The sequence below is a fragment of the Homo sapiens genome, chromosome 18 (genome assembly GCF_000001405.40).
Source record: "Homo sapiens chromosome 18, GRCh38.p14 Primary Assembly".
Classification (NCBI taxonomy): domain Eukaryota; kingdom Metazoa; phylum Chordata; class Mammalia; order Primates; family Hominidae; genus Homo; species Homo sapiens.
The window spans coordinates 33,740,678-33,765,811 of record NC_000018.10 but is presented as its reverse complement, the minus strand read 5'-3'; the positions used below and the strand labels follow the sequence as shown (position 1 = coordinate 33,765,811).

The window sequence follows — 25,134 nt, the reverse complement described above, 5'->3', positions numbered from 1 at the left end:
AGTTATTTGATCAGACTGAGGTTACCAGACTTGGCTAAATTTAATTTTTGAATTTCCCTCATGCTAGTGATCTTTAGCTAGAACATAAGGAAGCATTTTATTTGCACTTTTAGATGGCGTATGTGCAAATTAGCCAAGGAAATTAAGAATCAGAGACTTAAGAATCACAAAGCTACTAATGGTAGAGCTCTTACTTGAACCTCAGATCCCAGACTGTAAAGTCCAGATTATTTAAACTTTACCTGTGCAAAGCACCACAGGAGGTTAACCAAAAATAAAAGTCTTTCTTTCAAACAAGCTACATTATACTTATCACAGATCCATTTAAATATGTTAAATAGTAAATTTCAGGTGATCTGAGAAACCCAGGCAGGATGGTACAGACAGAACCATATTATGGACGTAGAATATGTTAGATGCATAGTGGAGAAAATGAGTCAAATTCCCTTCTGTAATGATTGAAAGATCCATACTTAGGAAATGAAAGAGAACACAGTAAACTCAATTATCCACATTAAGAAAATATTGCTGTGTCTTTTATGAGCTTTGTCCAAGGTCTTCTGGTTGATGTGGATCAAAAGCTTAAAGGCCTCACCTGTCATCTAATTGTTTATGGTTTATTACTATTTGATAATCTAGAGGGTAAAAAATGTAAGTACTTCACTTTACAACAGTCACATTTTAACACTGCAGTAGTTATTTATCCAATATCTGAAGTATCCTCTCTTAAAATTCTAACCATAAGTACTTATTTCCACACCATGATTAGGAAAAATACAGAAGAGAAACTTAATATTGTAAAATTGTATATTAGCAAAATATTCATGAAGGCAAGTGTTACACAATTAGCCAAAGTCTTTAGTGATCAACTGTGTGAAAATTCAAAGGTTACTTTAAGAACATTAGGAATATAAATAGATTAATCCTATGAATGAAATGCAATAAAGTTAACTCCATATTAAATTTGTAATATATGATTTCACATATATATAACAAGTATGCTACAAGATATTTAGAATAACATATACTTCTTCAGTGACGGAAATTTCCTTCAAGAAGTGTACCCTTCTGGTTTTTGCAAGAAGAAATAAATAATTACATAACTCTAGTTGATTCAGCATAAGGGCTGATAACAGGTTAGAAAATAAATTAAAGCAAAAAGCTTTCATTTTAACCAGCAGGACACATTTTCTTTTCAAGTGAAATGCTCTTTAGTGAAAAGGCTAATAGAATATAATTATTAAGTACATTAAAATTCATAGAGTGGATTTTAATTCATCAAAAACTTGCTTTTATCACCCTACTCAAATAGCCTGTGTGGAAAACAGTCAAATAAATTTAAAAGGTAAAATGGAAGAAACAGAAACCCTGGAGCTGACACTAAATTAAAAAGGCAAGGGAAAGGAGAAATATCGTTTGCTTTTGTGCTATACTGGACACTGAGCTCATTTTATGTGTTTACCAAGTCCCAGCTCATATCTTTTTCCCACAAAATGAATAAATTATTCTTCTCAATGTAAGGTCACCTCTCCAGAGGTATTCATAATATGAATTTCACTGTCCACTCTTCTCCAGGAAATATTAAGTTCTTAAGGGATTATTATAGTTACACTACATGTAAGGATACTGTAATGATAGATGACAATCACATATTTTAATCTCTAGACTATGTATATCAGAATCACCTGAGTTGCCTATTACATATGTAGATTCTTGGTTCCCATTCCTGATGTACCAATTCTGATGGCAGAGACCCAGAATCTACATTTTTGACAAGTATCCACATGAATTCTTGGCACACTAATACTTGAGAATCTTTGCTCCAGACTAATAAAATTGATTACAGTATAAGATACATAATTACTGAATAGGAACTGAAAATGGAAACATAAGATATAAAAGTTTAATGAGCTAACACTTGAATTTGTTTATAAAGTTAAATAAGAATATTTTTAAGAATATCACAATACAAATTAAATAATAGTAATATGGATACATCACAAATGGATTTCAGTACTGTTTGAAGATAATTTGTGTTGGAAAATAACACTTCTTTCCTTCTTTTCTTTCTTAAGAAAAAGTGAAACAATCACTTATTACTATGCTGACTTTGAGATTTGAAAAATATAAAAGTATCATATCTATGCTGTTTAAATGATTACTGTGTTTTAATATTTATCCAAGTCATCCTTCAAGCTTTGTATTTAACAGTTATAATTTTACAGAGAAAAATGAAGCAGGAAAAGTGGAAGAGAGAGAAGTGAATGGGGAAGCCTACTGTATACCAGTGGTCAGCAAGCACTTAATCTTATAGAAACAAATACTTTAATGGGTCTTAATGTATTTCCTGTCTTCTTTACTCAATATTTACAGTTTCATCAGTAATATAAATGTATATCAACTGTTATTGTTCTGAAACTACGGAGATGAATTTTGATTGATTTTAATAAGAGTTCAGAAGCATAATTAGAACAAACATGTACCGAGTCATTTCACACATTATTAATTTAACAAAATATAAATCACTATGTTTCTAAATTAGTCAATAGAGTACAATCAAGAATTTATTCCTTTCAGGTTTATAAGGCACTAATTCTCCAAGAAGGGAGAAATAAATGACAGATCTCAATTTGCCATTCAGGTAACAATCTTCCAAAGTCAAAATCTGACACAGCAAGCCATACCAAAAGGGTGACATAAAGGTAAGATCCCTGTAACCAAAGCAAAAACAAACAAACAACAAAAAAGTGAAAATCATGCCTATCCCTCTAAGCTTAAAATGACAGGCTGGTCCCAAAGAAAGATCTCTGCAAAAATGAAAGACCCTGAGATTCAAGTCTGTTTAACTGACCTTTCTTTGCCCTACCTTCAAATCCTCCAAAATCTGCTTCCCTAGTTTAGAATTAATAACCTGTAAGGCAACATTCATGAGTGTGATTTTCACAATTACTGAAGGGTTTTCCAGTCTTCTGTATTCAGAACAACCATAGTAGATCACCATGGCTTAATCAGAATTTGAAATTTGCTATTGTTTTATACTAGTGCTTTTGCATTCATTTTCTTCAGCTCCAAAATTACTTTTTGACAGTGGCTTTCCAAAATTTTGATTTAGGATTGGCTTCAACTTTATGAGTTGTCTTTTCAATCAAAAGATGTCTCTGTTTTACATTTGTCTGACCTGGTTGCTCTTTGGGCCTCGAATTGCCTTGTTTTGTGTTGAGGAATCTCAATCTTCACCCCTTCTGAAATTAATGTCTTCTTTTGGAAAATTGACCCCTATAGAGGCCTGCCCAAGACTATTCCAGGTTGTTGGTTTTTTACCTTCTACCCAAAGGAATGCAAGAAGAAGCCACTAGCCCAGTGCTTAATTATCTTTTCCTTCTATCTCACAATACATATTTCATAGGCTTTAAACATTATATTTATTGTTGTGTACGCTCTGTAACAATTCAAAAACTAGAGAGGCGCAGGAAGGTAGTTTTCCTGTCTGTCCCACACATATCCCACCACCACTGATGATATTTGGGTGTGTATTTCTTCATTCTTATGTCAAGGCTTTTGCAAATCTATGCAAACACTGACTTACGTAGTTAATTTTTGTATTTCTCATTTGGTTTTCTAGATGTGGTTTGTTTTCTAAAATGTCTTAGTAAGTTGGAGAATTTCTTAGAATTGGAACTTGTTCAGATATATATTTTCTTATTTTTCCTTCATGGTTTTATATATTTTCATTTAAATCAAACTCTGGGGGCCTTGCCTCAGCTATTAGAAGACCTGAAAGACTTTGTGTAGCTGTGCTCCTGATGAACTGCAGCCGGCTGTCTTCTCTTGCTGGTCCTGAGGGATGTCCAACTCTAATTTGACTTCATCCACAGCTTTTGTCTTCTCTGAGTTAAAGGTGATTGGATCTAATTCGGCAAGCAGGTGTTAGCGACTGCTACTGTGGGGCAACTGTCCTTTGCACAAGACTTATGAAAAATTAGCTTAAGAAGGACTCTGTTATAGCAAGAAAAAGATTCTATAATTTGCAGCACAAATAATGTCTGTTGGCAGATTAGCCATGTGGACTCAAAACATCTTACTGTTGTTCTGTGGAAAGATTTCTCTCTGACTTGATATGCTTTAATTGGTTATTCCTAGACCTAGAAAATCACTGCTGCTTCAGAGCAAGTTGATTCTACCTACAAGAGTGCTCTTTGTGAGCAACTTTACTGGACAATTAGCTAGATGAGCAATATATATAAAACAGATGGAGCAGCCACTGGGTGGCAGCAGAAATGTAATAAATACCCTGTACCAATGTACTATCTTATTGTTTAATCCTATCATTTATCATGTAGCATGCTAAAAGACTATTATTTTCAATAAAATATCATATGATAGATAATATTCATCTAATTAATCTCTGTAATATAAACTAGCATATTCAACTATGAGAAAAATAAACATTTAAAACAAACTTAACTACCTAATATTCTATGAATATAATTTTTAATATTACCTAGAATGGCTTTGTGAATTTGCATAGTTGCTTTCCCCATACTTAAAAGTTGCTATTACTTTTAATAGCCATAGAAACCTGCTAACAGAAGTCACACATATTGAGAGAAGAAATGAAGAATTTAGAAAAGACAAATAAATTTACTCACAATCTTCACACCTAGAATTAAACATTAATAGTCACTTGCGATTATATATATTCTCTTTTTTGATGTAGAGTTGTTTTTTCAGCAATACCAATTGGCTGGGTGCCATGGCTCATGCCTGCAATCCCACACTTTTGGGAGGCTGAGGTGGGAGGATCACCTGGGGTCAGGAATTCGAGACCAGCCTGGCCAACATGTGAAACCCTGTCTCTACTAAAAATACAAAAATTAGCCAGGCATGGTGGTGGGCACCTGTAATCCCAGCTACTCGGGTGGCTGAAGCATGAGAATTGCTTGAACCCGGGAGGTGGAGGTTGCAGTGAGCCAGGATCTCACCACTGCACTCTATCCTGGGTGACAGAGCGAGAGTCCATCTCAAAAAAGAGAATAAATAAATAAAGAGGTCATTTTTACATAACATTTTTAAGTGTTCACTCATTTTTCACTCAACATAGTACAAGTTACATGTCATTGGTTATTTTTCTCAATATTCTATATGGTGATTGCATAATATTCCCACATGGCTAGACCAATTTATATAATCAGTTCTCTTTTGTTAAATATTTGCCAATTTTTCTAATATTTACTTTTACAGATAACTGTTGTTAGTTTTGAAGGCTAGGTAGCCAATGATTTTCAGCCTTCCAATGTTAAGTAGTATATAAATAGTTTATATAGAGAAAGATTCTGGTACAATGAATTTGTTGCTTTCTGATTAGAACTTTCTGATTAGAATCACTTAAGAGTCATCCTACATCAAAACCTCAAGGGTGAGGGCCAGAATTCTGCATCTATTTCAATGCACTTTAAAGTTTCAGAACCACTGGCAATCTGAATAAAATTATATAGGCAGATGACCTCAACAATAACATTAATAGAAAATGCACAAACTTGGAAGAACATTTAGCTTTCATTTGTCTCAATTTCTTCCTTTATTAAGTGGAAATGATGATATATCCTAACATTAGGGTAATATTAAGGGAACAATGGTGTTTATCAAGAGTTCATTTCCAACTTCAAAATGCAGGCTTTGAAGACTCTGTTAGGAAGAGTATGACTCTTTGAATACTAGAGATCACATATTGTGATCATAACATACAACAAACATTATGCTAAGCAGTATATATGTATTCTACCCCTCACAACAATCTTGCCAGGTTACCATAATTCCATCTTATAGGTAAGCTTGGATGGTCAGTTGGGTTAAGTAACCCAGGTTACATTGTTTGTAAATGTCAAAATCTGAATTCAAACAAGACTTTCTGGTCCTATGGTGTGTGTTCTTTCAACTCTAGTATTCTGTCAGGCAATATGCAGAAAGGTAGAGGTATAGCCAGCCAGACGAAGTTTCTTCCTGGTTCAGTATAGAGTTATTGTATGCTTACTAGTTTCTTTCTTCTCCATGGTACTTAAATATGGCAAGGGAGTATTCAGAGCAGATGCTTTTATAGACTTTATTGAAAGGCAAACCTTGAATTTATGTTTTTTGGATTTTTTAAGACTTTGCATTTTACAGGCTCTAATTGTCAAGTACAGGTCAAGTGGTGTATACAGTGTTCAGAAGTTTTGAAAAAAATATAACGAAATACTCCACTAAACAAAAACATATCTCTACTGACAGTTTTCTTAAAATTTACAGCTAGCCAGGTGCAGTGGCTCATGCCTATAATCACAGCTACTCTGGAAGCTGAGGTGAGAGGATCAATTGAGCCCTGGAGTTTGAGGTTACAGTGAGCCATGATACACTACTGCATTCCAGCCTGAGTGACAGAGTGGGGACCTGCCTCTAAAGAAAAGAAAAAAGTACAGCTACTCACAACAAAGAAGACTGGAGCAGTCCACGCACGCTGACATTTACCTAAAACTCATGGTTTATAAAGGGCAGGACCTTTGGAGAAAGTGGATTCCTTCAGTTGACTTAGTATCTTTGACTCTTACTTTATCTGAAAATGAGAAAACCAACTTCTTAGTTCTCAGAGGTGGCTTTAGATCTAGCAAAGCCTGAGATAAAATGATTAATACATAAGGCCCTTTATTATCTTGCTTGGTGAATAAATAATCCAACTTTTCCTTAGAAGTCTAATGACATGGGCAAAGGAAAAATAAATAATTTAAATCATTTACTGAAAAAGTTATACTTTTTGTCAAGTTAGGTCTTCGAAAATAGCTGATCTCATCACTCATGCAAGAACCTTGATAAACAGACAGCCTTACAAGTTCATTATCTTACCTTCTATAGGAGCCTCCTCTTCTTAGTAGGAGATTCTGAGAGTAATTTTATTTTAATTACCTACCATAGTACACTGGGATCCAGAGCCTTACATTTGTTTCTGCCTCTGCATGGGAAGTCTCTCCACTTGTTGTCCACTTGACATGGTCCCACACCTTCACACTTTCTTCCATTCTCTACGCAAATATTCTTTCCCTCTCAATTATCTTGGGCTGCACAACAGAATACCATGGACTGGTGGCTTCAACAATAGAAATTTATTTTCTCACAGTTCTGGATGCTGGAAGTCCAAAATCAAAGTGCCAGCAGGGTTGGTTTCTGGAGAGGTCTCTCTTTCTGGCTTGCAGATGGCAGCCTTCTTTCTGTGTCCTCACATGGTCTTTCCTCCATGCTCACATGGACAGAGAGATATCTGGTGTCTCACTCTTCTTATAAGGACACCAATTTTCTTGGATTACAGCCCCACCATTATGACCTTATTTAAGTTTAATTACCTCATTATAGGTCTTATATCCACATACAGTTACATTGGGTATAGAGGTTCAGCTTATGAATTTGGTAGGGGGGCCACATTTCAGTTCATAGCACCTTTTCAGCCAGGCCTTCTCTGGGAACCCTTTATACATTACAACCTCCATACTTTGATTTTTTTTTATGTACTTACAATGCTTTGTTTTCCTTTATAGCACTTATCACTTTCAAATATACTATACATGTTTTGTATTTCTCTCTTTGTTACCTGTCTCCATCCACTGGAATAAAAGCTCAAGAATGATGACAATTTGTTCACTGTGGTACCCACAGTATCTCTGTCATGCCCTAGCAAAGAGGAATCTATGATACAAACATTTCTTGTGTGTATTAATGAACTATCCCTATGTTACGCACGATGGAAGCTACTACAGATACCAAAGTAGAAGAGATACTACAACTTCTCTTCAGTAACTTTTAGTCCAGAGATAGATAAGGCTCACCATAAATGAATTGTAGCTCCCTGTAACCATAAGATATAACTCAGGGAATGACCAAAAAGGAATATAGGGATCTGTATCGTGCACAGTCCAGAAAGACATTTGCTTTCCACACAGAAACTAACTTCATCAGATTTGCATAAATCTATTTGCTAAACTATGAGTCAGGAAATCATATTTTTCCATTATTAAAGTTAACATTCATTTTTTGTAATATTTATATGAGCCAACTATGAAACATAAAAACAGGTCAAATCCGTGTGTGGAAGGATGTTTTAAAATCCACCTTCACAGTCACAAACAGAAATGTCCCATGACCATATTTTAATAAACAACCATGTGTTAGAATAACTGATTACAGAGCCCAGTTTTTCCTTTCTGAGAAATTACTTTGATAGTCTTTTTCTTAAAAAAAAAAAAAAAAAAAAAAAAAGAAGGAAATTACTTTTAGGTCTTGACCAAAGGGTGTTCCAAGTGAAGAGGTCCCAAATCTTAGTAAGCGGGCAAAGGTGGTTTTATTTTTTTCAGCATTGCTTCATTAATCTGAATGTAAAACTATAGAAAAAATAGTCTCTAATTTAGCTAGAAAATAACACTCATTTGCTTGCTAAGGTCTAGCAACAAAAGAATGTTAATGCACATTACTACCTATTACTACAACAGTGAACACAAAATGAAATGAGCAGATGCTGATTTACCTTCTCTGGTGAATCATGCATGGCACGAAACTGCAGTCCTGAAGCAAGCTAGACCATCTGTGCTGTTTTCTCCAGATGAGCCAAATTTGATGACAAACCATTCTCCATATATAGGAGTTTTTCTTTCTTTCTCTCCATTTTATATTAGAAAGTATAGTTTCCCCAATAGAAGATGCAGAAAACTATTTTGCATCTTCTACTATATTGCTAAATATTTTGACTCTGAGCCTGGATAAAGCAGTCTGGAAATTAAATATAACTTCAAAAGAGACATCTTTTCAGAACTTGCATTCCTCAATTATTCTCTCCATCCATATGCAAGCTGTTCTGGAAAATAGGATGGCCCAGAAAGGTACATTTGAATGGCATTTCTGATAAATTTCTTCCACCTTATGATAATGTTTTATGGTTCAAATTTTCTTGAAAAATCAAGTCATGAGAAAAACCATGTATTCCCTGTAATTCAGGGCCTAGCATAGAGATGGTGATGAAAAAAATTTTTGCTTTTGAACGTTGGATGAATTTTGGCACTGAAAGTGCCTTCATCTTTAGAATCCCTTGACAAGTATTAAAGGTCAAGGAGTGAGGTCTTTTTATATTCAGTGAGATGACATGTTTTACTTAAGTAGAAAGGGAAGTTAAAATATCTCTTTTTGAAAATAGGAAAATGCAATTTCTCACTAAATCTAAACTTAAAATTTCTTAGTTTCACAATATCTTCAAATAAATACTTATCAAGATACTTAAAACATTAGGTTGCCAGATGGCTTTAAGATAAATATTTGCAAGCAAGAGGTGATAAAAGATGGGTTTGGCCTGTGGGCAAGATGATGAGTCAGACACGGAGCAGGAATGTGAATCACCCAACGTCATGCTCTCACAGCTGGGGCAGGATGACAATGCAGCGTGGACCACTTGGTGCTACAGACGAGGCTTCTCTATGGAGTGACAGTCATCGCTTATGTCCTCAGTCACCAGTGTGGAATTAAGAGAGTGGTAGGATTCACTTAAACAGGCGAGCATTTCTTGGAAAAATACTGATACAGGTGAAGCTAATCTCTGGCACTATATATATCTTGGTGTTATCAGCTGGATGACTCTTGTATGCTTTTTCATTTTCTGCAATGATCAAAATATTTTCCTTCTGTGATCACCAGCAGAGTGGGGAGCTTTTATTTCTCAAAAGTACTGCATGACACATTTATAAGTTCCCTGACTTCAATCCAAACTTGCAGCTTGCATGTGTAACTCTTTGTTTTCTTATTTGAAACCTATTAATATGAATAGTCAGAAGCAATTTCTTCTCTTTTAAAAAAATTAATTGCTCACATTGCAATTTATATCAAGATACTCCATTTTTTGGCATTGGTTTCGGTAACAGTCTCTGTAACACTAGTTAACTTTTACATACAGGAATATGTTTTATATTTTTTAAAAAGTATTAAAGAGTCAATGACCACCAAGGACATCAGGCACCGTAAATATTGTTTCAATATGTTAACTTTTAAAACGTCAATTATTAACATTACCAACATCTGAACAAATTCCTAGATTCATGAAAGAAGGCTTTGGGGACAGAGCTCTGAACTATGTAAAAGATCTGTGAGACAAAGTAGTAAATATAGAAAGCCATGTTTGCTCACTTCTGCCTGCCAGCATAATTTCACAAAGCCCCTGACTCTGTGACAAGATGCAGTTCTCTGGAAGAATGCTTTGAGGACAAAACTGGATAGAGCACACGGTTCCCACATCTCTTGAATGAAGTCACCATATTCCTTAAAGGATAAATGACCCTAGACCTTGCCTTTTCCTATAATAAGATAATGTCTGACAGGGTCAGTGATTATGCCTCTACTGTCTATAACCAGATGTACTCTTGCACCCAAAATTTGATATGATTTTGCACGTACTGAACCTTCACTGCCTGTATATAAGCAATGAGCCAAAACAGTTTTGGAATAGTCTGATGGAACCTCTCTGAAAGATCTCTCCAGGGCTATAGTCCTCAGTCTACAGTCCCCAGTAAGACTTCTGAATAAAACTAACTTTAATTCTTTACAAGCTTGATTTTTTTTTCTCTAGTGGACGGTCATAAAACTCAAAAAGATCATTATCAGAAAAAAAGAGTCTCATTATTGATGAACCCTGTTCCAGGAAAGTAACTGGTATACTGATGGGGAAGAACTTGCTCTCCTGCCCCGTGGTACTGCCCTTAAACCATGGCAGATGAGGGGAAACATGTGCCCTTCTAGAGGTCTCATTCTCAGCCACTGGCAACCCTAGTTTCACCCACTTGGTTGCTTCCTTCCTTATTGAACCTTGCACGTCTTGGTTATATTTTTGTCACATTATTTTATTGTTTTTCCCACTAACCTATATTTTTTTCAAGGTCTGAGACCCTCTGATTTTTCTTGGAATCCCCAGGAGTTAGCAAAATCTGTGCAGCAGCCATTGCATCTTCTAGCAGGTAAGAGGATGGGCTTTTGTTTCTGATAAATCTTTATACCCCAAATCTTAGCTGAGTGTTCTTAACTTTAAGCTCTCTAAGCCTCAGATTCCTTATTTATTACATAGATATAATAATGGTGCTTCCTTTATAGTTTTTTTTTAAGAATAAATGTGATAATACCTGTAAAATGCTTTGCGGCACTTGTTACACTGCATTTCACTAATATTATCAATTATTTTAAAATTATTTGTTAATACCTTCAATGTTATCAACTATTACTTTTTAATCTTTTTTAATACCCATTTTAAAATAATGTTAACTGTTATTTTAAATAATTTAATAAATTATTTTTAATGTTATCAATTATTTCTAAATGAGTATTTTTTAATAAAGCCTTTTTGGAACAGCTCTGGAAAATCGCTGTAGTATACACTTAAAACTCTTCAAAGTTTATCGATATGAAGGGAACTTGTAAAATCTCCATATTCAGATCGTGACGTCTTCTTTAGATTTATTTTTTAAGGTAATAATATTACTGAAAGTCACAATTATAAAACTGGAATTGTAAGGACTGGTAGCTTTGATTATTCCCAGTTGTTGCCAAGCAAATCTTTTTGGACAGGAAAGTTTCTACCAAAGACCTTTCCAGTATCAACATATGAAGAAGAAGAAAGAAACTGGCTGTTACCGATCTCACAGTCTTTCTGATGGACAAAAGGTGAGGACGTTCAGTGAGTATTTATCGAGGAGAGGTAACAGATTATCCATAGAGTCCTACTCTGAATATAGTTTTTAAAAGCTTTAAAATTTGTTGAGGTTTTCTAAGCTACCAGCTAATTTTTCATTGCTTTTACTTTTCTTCCTGGAGATGTAAAGATTTTATCAAAAATATGCACTGAAAGAAAAAACGAAATCTACACTGAGCTTACAGGTTAAGGGAAGAAGGGGTATAAAATGTGTTAGTGGCTTCCACTTAGAAGCCATTATAGAACACTGTCCCTACTCCTACGCCAACCCTTTCAAATCCTCAATTTAAGACAAACTGATTTGCAAATGATGTTTATATTACAGTAGGAAATGTTTCATTTCTATATAAATGGACACACATAAATGTTGTCACCTATTGGAGGAGAGAAAAACCCAGGAAAAGCTCACATTTTCTACAGTTACTGAGGTCAGTCACACTTTGCTATATCTAGGCGACGCTGTAACATCCCAGAATTGTACATTGAAATCAATCAAAGAAAACAGAACCATAGTTCTGCACTCCTTTGAGGTCCCTCTGTGTTCCTTCTTCATTGAAGAATGAAGATTCTGGGCACAGTGTTTTCCTGAAATAAAATCACAATATGAAACTACAGATACAGGTTGAATCAAAAGTGAAATCTATTTTCCATTTACGAACTTTTGACAAATAAAGACTTTGTGATGACCCTATAGAAAATGAGATGGAATGTGTATAACTTCAAGTGTCCGAGACCTTGTTTTAAAGTAGCTGGTGCCCCCACTCTCGGGCCAAGTTGTTACTTATGAGGAGTGTCCATTTGCACAGCATGGTGAGTATAGTAAATAAGGACCTGTACACTTCAAAACTGCTCAGTACATTTCAAATATTCTCACCACAAAAACAAGTATTTGAGATGAATACGTTCACTAGCTTGATTTAACTACTCCATATTGTATTCATAAATTGTAACATCACTTTTTACCCCATAAATATGTACAACTATAATTTGTGAATTACAATGAATAAAAATTTTTAAATGAGACTTTAGCTGGTAATTTTAGCTTAAAAAAGAAAGTACCTCCGAAACAGACTTTCCCATAAATGCAATGAAGGTACTACGTAAAAATCCAAACTACCGATAAAAGCAGACTCAGGGGGCTCCTTCATTCACAGAACTGACATTCAGCCATTCTTCACTGATTTGTTTTTATAGGGCCACTTCTTTTGTGTAGCATGTGTTTAGATTGGTTGGTTGACCCTTACAAGATTGCTAAATATTTTTAATACATGCTTTACTTATATTCAGGTAGCACAATGGGATATTTACTATAGTTGCAGAACTTAAAACTGGTTAAATAAAATGGTCAAAACTTCAACCTTTGTTTTGTTAACTCAGGTGATTTTCCTCTAAGTAGTGAGTCTATGGTAGTTACATTGGCAACTTGGTTAAAAGTTTCTATAGGGATGAGTACTGGGTTCATCACTCAATTTAGACTTCTAAATTAGTTGTGACATTTGATTATTTCAACTTTTCATTTTTGCAGATCACTGTGAAGCACTGTGTGTGATCTTCACTTGAAATATTCAGTCTAGGCGATCTACAGTTAAAGAAAGACTTCAAATAATTTTATGGGATGTGAAACACTTTCTAGGATTTCTGTTCAATTCTCTTCTCTAGCAAGAAGCCCAAAACTGTTCTATCAACTACACTGCTAGCTGGGTTCCTTGTAAATAACATAATTATGTTTGATTACAATGAAGTATTTATGTGAATAAATACTGGATAAATCACTTGTTCTTTGATAAGTGCTATGATGGATACAAATAAATACTTTAGATCCTAACATAAATTATAATTCAAATTAGGCTACATTATTGTATTAAAAATAATGGCACATTTATACAAGAATTGTGTCATTGTACTTTTATGAAAATAAAAACACACAAGCATTCAGATAAGTTTCACTAAGCGACAGCTTAGAGAATGCTGAGCTGTTCAGTTTTATCCTAATAGGTTTTGGACTAGATAATGCCTGTGGGGTAATGCAATGAGAAAAAATTTTTAAAACAAACTGCAATTCTAAATAAAATTAAGAAAGCATTTTGTAAATATGTTAGTAGAAAAAACAGTGGAACAAAAAAGCATCATCATTGTCGTGAAAATAATGTAATTAATGTAGAAATATCCATCCTCTACTGGCTTACCTGAATAAATTTGACTTTTAATATTATTAAATTTGGTTTTTGTAGGAGGAAAAAGTATTTTCTTTTTTCCTACAAAAGTAAATATCCTCTTTCGCCATCTGGTGGCTAAACACAACATCTTCTGTGTAGATGAAAAACAGGAGATTTAACAGCCAACTGTGTTTAATGCTTTGATCCATCTTACTGAAAAGATATGCGTATTTCTTTAACCTATGTAAATATAACTGAAGCAATTTTGTTTTAATGGCTCACAGCATTTCATTCAAGTAACTCTAGTTACAATATTTCATGTAGGATTTTAAAAAATTAACCAAAGCAATTCTTCTAAGGGATCATTTTCTGAATTATTCATTTTGAAAGTTAAAAATACATGTGATAGTAACAATTTGTTTACCTGAATGCTTTTTGGTATAAAAAATTAAGATCTTAATGAAAACAGAAAGTCCAAATATAGTCTTAAATGATAAGAGTAACAGCTACAATTTCTGAAGTTTCAGTTTTAGCTTTTCCTGTTTTAACCATAGTTATAACCATATGTTGACAAGTCACCATTACCAAAAAGAAGCGTGGGTAATTTAAGAGTATATGGTTTAAGTTGTCCCTATAAATTTTAAATAGAATTTCCAATTATTAGTACATTTAACATATATAAATTACTTCATTTCATTAAAAAATTAAAAATGACAATTATTTCATGTTTAATTTCTTTATTTTCTCCAGAATATCTTAATATTGAAACCCAAGTTGTTACTTTGAGAAAGGGAAAGACAGAGAAACATGAAGAGACAAACATTTCATTTCATTTAACTTATGGTATTGTGAGCAGTCACTTTTGTAGGCAACACTTGTTTTCTTTGTAGAAAAGAAATAAAAAACAAACAGCACCATTAAAGAATGCATGATCCCTGAATTCTAAACAAAACACTGTCTAAAAATTTTCTTAAATGCTTGTTGCACTCAGTCACATTTAGTCAGGTATCAAAGCAAGCGTAACAGTATTAAATTGTCGCAGTCTTACTGAATCAACTGCTCCCCCTTCTGAGGATTTTACACACCTTTTCTGAGTTTTTCCTGTGGGAATAATATATTCTTTGGTAGAGGACTGAAGGAGGATTTTACTTTTCTGTATGCTGATATAAAATGTCTATGTAGGTTCAGGGCCTTCGCCCCCAATCTGTGTTTGTCATGCATGTTATGTTTGGGTTGATTTCACATTTTGCTGTTACACTGTAGGAGTAATACCGCCTTTAAAAAAGGCATTAAATGGCTAATGTCAAACAGATGTAAACATTCAGAATACTGACCAAAAAAAAAAAATTGTACAAACGAACACACATTAAAAAAAAAAAACTACTGAAAATATGTATCATATCAGGTTTCCATGAAGCAGGGGAAGGAGGGGAATACAGCAGTACAAGAAAATTATGGCAACCAAGTAAAGCACTTTCTTTGAAACATTCAAGAACAGTACAAATACAACAAAGTTTTTCTACAGTCTAAATTATTCTGCAACTATCAAATATAGTACAAAGCGAAATAGTATGTGCTATAAAAAAGCAGCTCCTTTAAATTATAGTAAAAATGCTTTTTGTTCTTTTTACAGTGACAAAGCATGAAGACTGAAGACGACAGGAATTTTATATTTAGTAACATTTTGGCTACATAGGCCCCTGACAGTCTGATTCAGAGTTCCTGTTCTAGGACTCTTCACAATTGTTCTCTGGGAACGCAGATGGACAGTGACTCTGGGCTCTGCATGCTCAGGGGGTCATTCCCACTAGGCAGCTACCGCTGTGCTGGGCCTCACCACCGTACAGACGATGCTACCCTAGGCTTGGCTTCAGCTTCTAAAACCTGGGACTTCATTACACCACGGAGGAACTGGGAAACCAGAGGCCACGGTAACTTCCACTTTTGAAATTGTGCGGGGGTTTGTAAAGGAAATGGGGCTACAGCAACATGTATTCTTACTCTCGACTGCATTATAAAGCACCATATGTACCAGCTTGTTTTTGTGTATTTTGAACCGAGTAAGAATATCCAAGGTCCAGCAGTCAACTAAACTTTCTATATAGCTCATCCCAGAAACACATACCATCCCAAAGTCTTTATAGCAACCAGGCTCAACCTCATAGGTTTGTTTTCAAGTTTTTTTTTTCTTCAAACTAGACCTTCGCAGGGAAATATTATATAACTATGGTGCTCAGTTCACCAAAATTTCTACTATTCTCATTTTGGGGAAGAAAAAATTATTTTCATTTTGAAAATGAATTTGCATCACAATGCTCTTATTAACATGCCCATTAACTAACCTAAATGTCTTTATACACCTCAGGCATATGCATATCTTATAGGAGGAGGATTAGGGAATAGCAGTTTTCTTCCTTCCCCTGCTCCAAAAGTGCTACTTAGGGAAATACATCCTTTGTGATTAAAAAAAAAAAAATTGTATGGTACATGTGCAAGTTCTATTCCTGATAAGAATAAAACTGTGTCCAGTAATCAGGATAATGCACATGCTAACATTTGCACACTACACCACAATAACCATGTAGTAAATAATATACTACATTTGCACATAGCAGACACATGTAGAAATCAGAAAACTAAGAACCTACTCAGAATATACTGGATTTTGTGTGTATATATATATTAAATGGAAACCTATAAAATATCTGACCCACATTTTACATCTAAATTTCTCTTCTTCCTTTCCCTTATATTTTAGCTTAAAGATATTAATTTTTCAGTAATATAAACCATATGAGAACACTAGGAATTTGAACTGGAGCAAAAAAAAAAAAAAAAAGGGCGCAGAAAAATTATGCTAATCGGACCTGGATGATAGAATCCATGCACTATCAACAACTGATTCTCCAAGCCTGTTATGTGAAAAATCAAAACATACAGAAGGACACTTTTTCTTATTCCCAATAAGCAACTTGCAGGCAGTATTCAACAATGAAGGAACTGATAATGAGCTCAGTATCTCATCAGCCTCAATTGTACCTCACATACTGAGTGCAAAGGTTCTGTAGACTGGAGTTTCTTCCGACACCATGTCAGTTACTGATGTGATGGTTTTCAATTTGCTGGTGTAGACAGTATCTGACACTGGTATAGCAGTGAATGAATTTGGAAGGAGTTGGCATGCAAGTGTCTATATTATAGGGGTGCCCCGCTGTGAGACTAACAGCATGATCTTCGAAATCAGGATGATATCAGAGCCAGGCAGACAAAGACACCACTGATAAGGATGCCACCCCAACACAACCTGGCAGGCAGTGAAGAGAAAACTAAGGATCCACTGGAACTTATGCTGCTTTCCTCGGGTAAGGCTGGTTAAGTGCATTGCTAACTAACTTTCTCAGTCATTAGTTTTGCCAATTTTACTGTGAAAAACAGAAATGACAGTACTGAAGCACCAAAATCATGGCTACAGCAGCAGGCCTTTTCTTTCTTTCTAAGATAAAGTAAAGTACCTCTCACTATCAGCAATTTGTTATTCGAAATGATGTCTCTATCACCTAAAGAAAGAAATTTGGCAACATCACAATAAATACGGAGAAAAAAACATATTATATAGTTGGTTATTATAAAAAAATCACAAGTGTTCTTGTTTTCAGGAATGTAATTTCTGCTCATTCCAGTCAACTTTTAAGACGTGTTTTACGGGAATGTCAAAAAGTTTACAGTGATTAGGATGATCCCATGTGAAAATATTGGTCATTCTTACCCTGGATACAGATGATTCCCCACCCCCCCCATGTTTGCTTTTTAAATTCTACAGCCACAATCAATCAATGGGTTAATGGCACTCCACATTTTGTGCTCTGTAATCTGAAGTTAAATGGGCATGGTTGGTTTTTGTTTTCTTTCATCTTCCCTCAATGTGCATGTGCTTTTGAACTTGCTTTTGAAAACAGAGCCTCCTGAACTACGGCTGTCCTCTGGTATGAGGGTGGCCAAAATATATGGAATGTAGCTCAAATACTCAACACGCAGACTTTACTGGATGCACACTGAAGATAACTGTTAAGATGCAGTATCCCTTTTTCAAAAGCAGTTCCCCCAAATATGAAGAATGTATTGAATATACCTGAGGGAAAAAACAAAACATGCCATACCTAGAACAGTTTTTTTCAAAATAAGGGTTATTTCAAAGTTGAATTATATAGGTTGTAAATAATGAGAAAAGCAATTGTTCTGAAAAATGTTGACGCTTTAGCCTTGGGTAGTCCCTTTTATCATCAATGACACTTTTAAAAAGATATGGCCAACCTCTGCAAGGTCTGAAGCCAGAATGAATGGGTGTCATCAATAAAGGGCTACAATGATTTCCACCCCCCACTTTTAATATCTAGTAATTCATTAGCGTGAATAGGATATTTACATTATCAATGCATTTATGTGTGCATATACAGCATCTTATTTCCTTGCTTTGAAGTTTAGGGTCTTTTTTTTTTTTTTTTCAAACCTGCTCTTAAAAGCCACACATGAAGCTCTAAAATCCTCTGGGCTTATGGCTATTGGCTGGCCAATTGCTCTCATATTATCAGGTGTCAAAGGCCTAGAACCAGATTGCTGGGCATGAGTCCCATGCAATTTCAGATGTAGGACACATTTCACTACAATATGTGTACAAAATCCAAGGAAGATCCAGATATTCTGCCATAGTCTCTGAGAAAGTACAACAGGAGGAAAGATAATACTCAGGACAGTGGATTTCATTAATGGCATACCTCCTTTAATATATCTTTTGTGATAGGAGCAAATACAAGGAATCACACATTTAAATCAGATTCCCCTTTCTAAATAGGATTTAATCACTGTGGTAAAGCTAGGTTCAGAGAAGTCAACTGTAAAATTCCTTGCTGTAATGGCTCATCTATAGAAAAATGCATAACCACTTTAACTCATTCCTCTCATTCTCCTTACACATCTGCATTTCCGGTTATTAAGTAATTAAAAATGTCCTTTTCCTATCTACACCTCGGTTAAAAGAAAAACAAAAATGGGGCATTGACTTGTATACACATGGACAGATAGAAACTTTCCAAAGCTAGGAATGGCAACTGAACACATAAAAGACATGCCAGTGAGCCATTCAGTTGGGATGCATCCTCCCCTTTATGAGAAATGCAAGAAAATAATGCCATAGAGGAAAGGTACCTGCTCCAAAGCAAAATAAATTAGCATGATAGAAACCACTGCATTATTCTATTTGTTGTTGCTGATGCTATTTGGCTTTTCCGTGTGGAAAAGGGATACTGCATCTTTCACTCAGCTCTTATCGTACAACCAGGCATGCTACACAAAGTTTTGAAGGACCTATGCAGTCGTCATGGCAGAAGGCCCCACAGCCTTTGCACACAATCATGGCTTTCAGCCGGCAAGAGCATTTCAGTTCCAATTCATCTGCATTGCTGCTGTCGGCAAAGTTCTGAACGGGCATCTGAGCGTTCTGACCAGACAAGCCTGTGGCAGGATTGGAGCCACTTCCCAAAATCCCAATGGACTTTTCAATTGCAGATGCTGCCCTTTTGAAACTCGTGCTACCAAAGTGTATTGTTGGATAATTTCCACAGAGCTGCTGTTGTTGCTGCACCTGCATTTTCTGAGCAGCTAATTGGGTAAAAGGCTTTTGTGGCTCAGAAAGCAAATAGGAAGAGAAATCTGCACTTTTTAGCGCGAATGCTTTTAACTGTTCTTTCATTTCATTCTGGTCATAGGAAACTTGTTTCATGCCCAGTTCACAGCTGCTGCTTAAACCTTCCTCAAAAGAAAGAGGTTCCGATTTTATATTGCTACATATGCCCGTGGACTGTGGCCAACTAAGTCTCTTAGTGGTTTCCATGGTAACTGGAGGTTGTTTTTGATCAGATGGGACTTCTGCATTAGGGAGAGGTGGAGGTAGCGGAGGTGGTGGGGGGGGAGGCGGGGGCAAAGCCAAGGGTGGAGGGGGAGGGGGAGGCGGTGGCGGCGGCGGATGTACTAGTGCTTTGTTTGGCATTGTGTGTGCAGTGCCTCCCACCTCATCACCTTCTTTCATGGGCATATTGGGGGATAACATGTTGGCTAACCTTAGCTGGTGAGGTGCTGAGGAAAGACTAACCTCTCCCAATCCCTTCTGTTCAAGATGCCTGTTGAAGGCAAATGCATTACACCCCACTGGGGTCTTGGAAGAGGCCTGTAACAGAGCTGCAGTAGGAATGGGGCCCCTGGCAGCCACAGGCATTTGGTAAAACTGCTGTCTGTGTGAGGTACCAGCGTCAGTGTGGAAGCCGCCATTCTTGTCAACATGAAATAGGTTCTGCTGGAAGCTACACGAGGGGAGCAGCCGCTTTTGCTGTTTGACCTCAGGGCTGTGAACAATTCTGTTCTGCATGGAGTGCTTGTTTAGCCATTCTTGCTTAAATGGCTGGCTGTGTCCTAGCTGACTGATGCCGGAACTGATGACACAAGGCACCCCTTTAACATCTGGCTCCACCAACAATTTTCCTGGTTCACATTTAACTTGAGTGTGTTCTCCTACAGTCCTAGCTACTCTCTTTTTGGGGTGGTTTTCTCGCTTTCTCATTTGGAGTGGTGCCAGAGTCCCTGCCAAGTAGCCCTTACCATCTGGATTTGGAGAGCTGGGCGGAATTTCAACGTTTCTCTCTGGTGCTGTTTTACCCACTGAGGTAGTTTGAAGAGGCAATGGAAGCCTGTTGATTTCAAGCTTGGCTCCCAATCTGGGCTGTGGCAACACTTTTTCCAAAGGCAGGTTGCCCTGTAGTAACTGCGTCACCAGCGGATTGTTAGCCTCCACAGAGGACAGACGACAGCCTGAGCTCCCTGCACCAGGGACTCTCTTCAGGGCATCGGTAGCCAAGGAAATAGCCTCTTCCATGGGACTTGAGGTGGAAGCTTTCATGTTCTGTGTTTGTTGTACACTAGAGGCTCCCTCTGCAGCCGGAGGAGGCAGCTCAGGGCCAGGGAAGTCTTCAGTGTCCATTCTAAAGCCCTTGTCTGCTTCGTGAAGTTCAGATTTCACAGGAAGAGCAACATTTGTTACAAGATTCCTGGGATGAAGTTCTGACACGTTCAAGTAGTTGGCATGTTCAGTTTTGATAGCCTTTGGACAGCTTTGCTCTAGATATTCTTTTTGTTTACTTGAACCCGAGTGAGTAACCAGAGGCTGTCCTGTGCTCCTCATCCCATCATCATTCCAGCAAATCCGGTTACTTGGGTTATACTGATTGCTACAGGTTGTGTCTGCTTCACTTTTGAAAGGAGCTGGGCCACGTGCCTGCTCAGCAAAGTTATGACTGGGAGCAGTCGGCTCATTTAATTTATCTGGAACAAGGGGTAATTCTCGGAGACTTGTGCAGGTGGCCGGCAATGTTTTACTGTCTTGTTTTGCTGCCGAAGCAGCAATGAAAGTGGAACTGTGATCTATACCTTCGTTGGCAACTGGCTCAGGCCTGCTAATCACAGACACCTGAGGACACGCCACGGGCTGTACGGATGCCTCTGTCCTCACTGGTCTGCCCTGCAGGTCCAAGCTGGCTTCTGAGCTTTCAACGGAGACAGTCAGAGACAAACTGGAGGTCAGCGTGGTGCTGTGGTCAACGATGACTTTACACGGAATTGATCGGTTTATGGCTGCTGGTGCAAAGCCCCCTGGTGGTTGCTGAGGTTTTCCAGAATTATCTGCCCTGTTTCGAGGCCCTGAATTTTTGTCCAAGCTTTCAGCACTTAACTTGGGAGGACTATCATAAGAGTTTATTGTCAGCATGTTTCCAGTAAACATTGCGACGGTCGGGTGTGCAACCAGAGAGTCTGTGACCGCTACAGAATCACTGCAGCTGAGGGCTGCTCTCACAGTGGTACCCATGGATACAGTGGCCTGTTCTTCACTCCCAGGTATGGCTATCTTCTCAGAAGGAAATCTGTTGTTAATTCCCATTGGGGGAATCAAGACAGAGCTAGTGGAGAGGTTTGGCAAATTGTTTCCGATGGAGGGAGTTGGCACAGAGGTGTACTGAGTGGAGACTAAGTTACTAGCACTGCTGCTTGATATTAGTAACTGCTTATCATCCATGGAGCTTGATATGCTGGAGCCCTCTGTAGTGGCTGAAATGGGAGTGCTTTCAATACATTTTGGTATAATGGCTATGCATGGAGTGTCAGTTCCCTGGATGGTTTTTAACATGCTTATATTACAAGCAGAAATTGTAGTGTTTGCACTGTCAACAGACATTAGGACAGAGGATTTATCAACAGAACTCACAAAGGGATGTTCTTTAATTGCTCCCGATATAGCAGTGCTGCAAACAGATACAGGGACAGAATTTTTATTAAAAAGCATGGGCACACTGCTATTTTCAGAAGAGGTAGATGAAACAATTTTCTCAGATAAATGTGACACAGGTATGTTTTCATCAGAACTATGCACAGATAAGTCAGTGGCAGTTTCTGGAAGTTTACTTGGGTTAAGAGACTGCTGTAGTACAGTGGTGGTCTCCCGGAGGTGGGCAGACTTGTTGCTAGGAGATCTACAGTTTGGATTGACAATAATGACACCAGTCGAACCTTCCATTTTTGTTTCAGGGGTAGAAGAGACTTCTAAGTTTGGAGGCCCTTCCTTTGAGCTGAGCGGAGGAGGCAACCGGGTCTCTTTAGAGGTCTGGAAGAGATGGGCTCGAGCTTGATGCTTTGCAAAGAGCTTAGCCTTTGTCTGCTCTTTGATGTGTGCCAGAGTTCTCGTCTTTCCACCCTCTCCTGGACTTCCCATGGCTCCAGAGACAATGCTCGCTGCAGCAGCCACAGCAGCAGCTGCAGCAGCCTCTCGCTGGGCCCGAGCTTGTTGGGCCCGGGCCTTGATATCTGCGAGGGTCCTGGCTCCTGTGTTCCTCCCGCCACTGACAGATGTGCTAGTGGATGCTCGAGACTCAGGTTTGGAGACTGGTTGGCTCTTGATTATAAAAGGTGGCCCAATTTTGGAAAGCTGAATCTAAAAGGAGGACAGAAAAAAAAATATAATGTGCTTCATACATGATCACAGAGGAGGCACGTAGAATGTGATAATGCAAGGGAAAAGACTAGCTGCATTCTCTCCTAATATGCCATGAACTACACCTAAATCCCTGGATGCACCCTTAGGGCATAAAGCAATAAGAAACGTAGTATGAATGGAAAAAATTAAGTTTTTAATCTGTTTTTTAATCTACAAAAACATCCATTGTAACTTCATTTGGCATGGAAATGAAGAATCTTCTTAATGCATCATACAAATGGATACAAAATTCATGCTTCTAGAAGTGTAGTAGGCTAAAAAGAAAGACTTCAAGATATTTAATTTTGAAATATCTTTTTTAGTGGCATAAAAAAGTGGAACTTCAACTCTATTTGAGTTTGTCTGTCTTAATTTGACCCAAAGAAAAAAGCCCTGACTGAGATATTGACAACTAGAATTCTCATTTTGACTTTACACAAAGGAACTTTGTGATCCTAGGCTAATCATTGTGTACCTCAGTTTCTCCAATAATCTCTCTGAGCCAAGAACTCTATGATTTTTATGCACTCCTATGCTACCTTGCATGCTGCTTTATACATATAAGAACACAAGAGAAGTTTGTAAACTCAGTTGTAAAATGGGACTAGTTATTTCTGATCTATTTCCTTCAAAGGGCTGTTTTAAAGATGGAATGAGACTACATTTGTCAGCGTGTTCTGTTTTCCAAAGGGATTGTATTATCATTGCATTTGCATAAAAGCAAGGGAAACTCTGATTTTCTGTCTCTAAAGGATTTATGCATTGGGCAGTTTCTTTTGATATTGGTAATCCACAATCTGCTGAATTTTGTAAACGTCCCAACCCATACTGTTTACCAATTCTTGGTAATTAAGAGACTCGCAGAGTCATCACCAAATTCATGAGGCACAAGGTCTAACAGCCAGCATTCCATAGCAAGGCTGTGTTGCTCTAGTCACTAAAAGCATTCTTAGTCATGGCTGTGTAGAGCTGGAAAGACTCTAGTTGACATCCCTCATTTCACAGTTGAGGAAACTGAGGCTGTGCAGGTAAAGTAGTTTGCCTTGGGATTATATAACTAGTGAGTGACTAGAGCCTTTGGACTTCCCATTTGGTGGTGTTTCCATGTATTCTGTTTCCTTTTTCTCCAGATTATACATATCAATTTAGAATTATGCTTTGGAACTTTGATGGATGAAATTGTCTTCCTGAGCTATCTTGTTTCTCATTTTCAAACTGCTTGTGAAGTCTCTGTTCTATTCCAAAGGCCAAAAAAAGAAAAGATAGTTTTGAGGAGAAGATTCAATTTGCTCTTTTAATATTTCTCCTATGTAAAAAATTAAACATATTTTAAATAAACTTAAATATCCTTAAGCAAGAGCTCTTAAGACCAAACATCAAATATTCTTGTAGTATTTACCTTTTTTTCACATCAGTGCTTAATTTATTAATTAATATGCTCAATAATATGGCAAGATAGTAACATCTTGCAAGATTCTAACATATCACAACCAGGATACTGACATTGATGCAATTAAGATTCAGAACATTTCCATGACTACAAATTTCCCTCATGTTGTTATCTATCTATCTTTACATAAAGTCCATATGACTTTGAAAATAAGCTTTTGACAGACTGGCATGTTTAAAAATATCTCCTATGGAAAGTTTATATTATTATTTCTATTGCTTCGGAAATTAAAATGCATAGTAAGTTTTTAATTGAACTTAATGCTCATCTTTTACACCTCTAGAATCTTGCTTACTAGAGACTGCTTTATTAAAAAGAGTAAGTACAACCATAATTTTAAAGTCAGCCTGTGGAGAACATGAGTCATACATAAAATGAAAATTTTGTAGATTTTATATCTACATATAAAGCATAATATTTTTAATTTAAAAAGCTTGAGATGTTTATAATTCTAGACCAATGCTATGATGGAATAATCCACTTTACTGTACAACAGTATAAATGCACTTAGATAAAAGCATCAAGTCAGTATAAGTGACAGAGAGCAGAAACTTAGAAAAAATTACACTGGGTTTATGGTGTAAGTTCTCTAAAGAACTTTTATAGAAAACTAAATTATCTTTCACATTTTCCCAGGTTTACATAGGTCTCTGTACTACACCTTGAAATCCCCATAAACCCAGGTGTCTCAGTGGCCTGGAGACATTTCCAGGCCCTA

At 36.8% G+C, this 25,134-nt stretch overlaps 1 protein-coding gene and 1 long non-coding RNA gene across 9 annotated transcripts in view; one reads left to right on the top strand and one right to left on the bottom strand.

Moving 5' to 3' along the window:
* The window catches only part of ASXL3 (ASXL transcriptional regulator 3), a 172,977-nt gene continuing 162,459 nt past the window's right edge, over positions 14,617-25,134 (bottom strand). For all 8 annotated transcript variants that reach the window (XM_005258356.2, NM_030632.3, XM_011526205.3 and 5 more), the window contains one exon: positions 14,617-22,924. In XM_005258356.2, coding sequence (XP_005258413.1) covers positions 19,217-22,924 — 3,708 coding nt within the window. In that variant the 3' untranslated portion in view covers positions 14,617-19,216. The remainder of the gene's footprint in view (positions 22,925-25,134) is intronic.
* Positions 21,751-24,340, top strand: LOC124904347 (uncharacterized). Its single transcript, XR_007066447.1, has 2 exons — positions 21,751-21,834; positions 22,522-24,340. It is a non-coding gene; the product is annotated as an uncharacterized LOC124904347 (long non-coding RNA).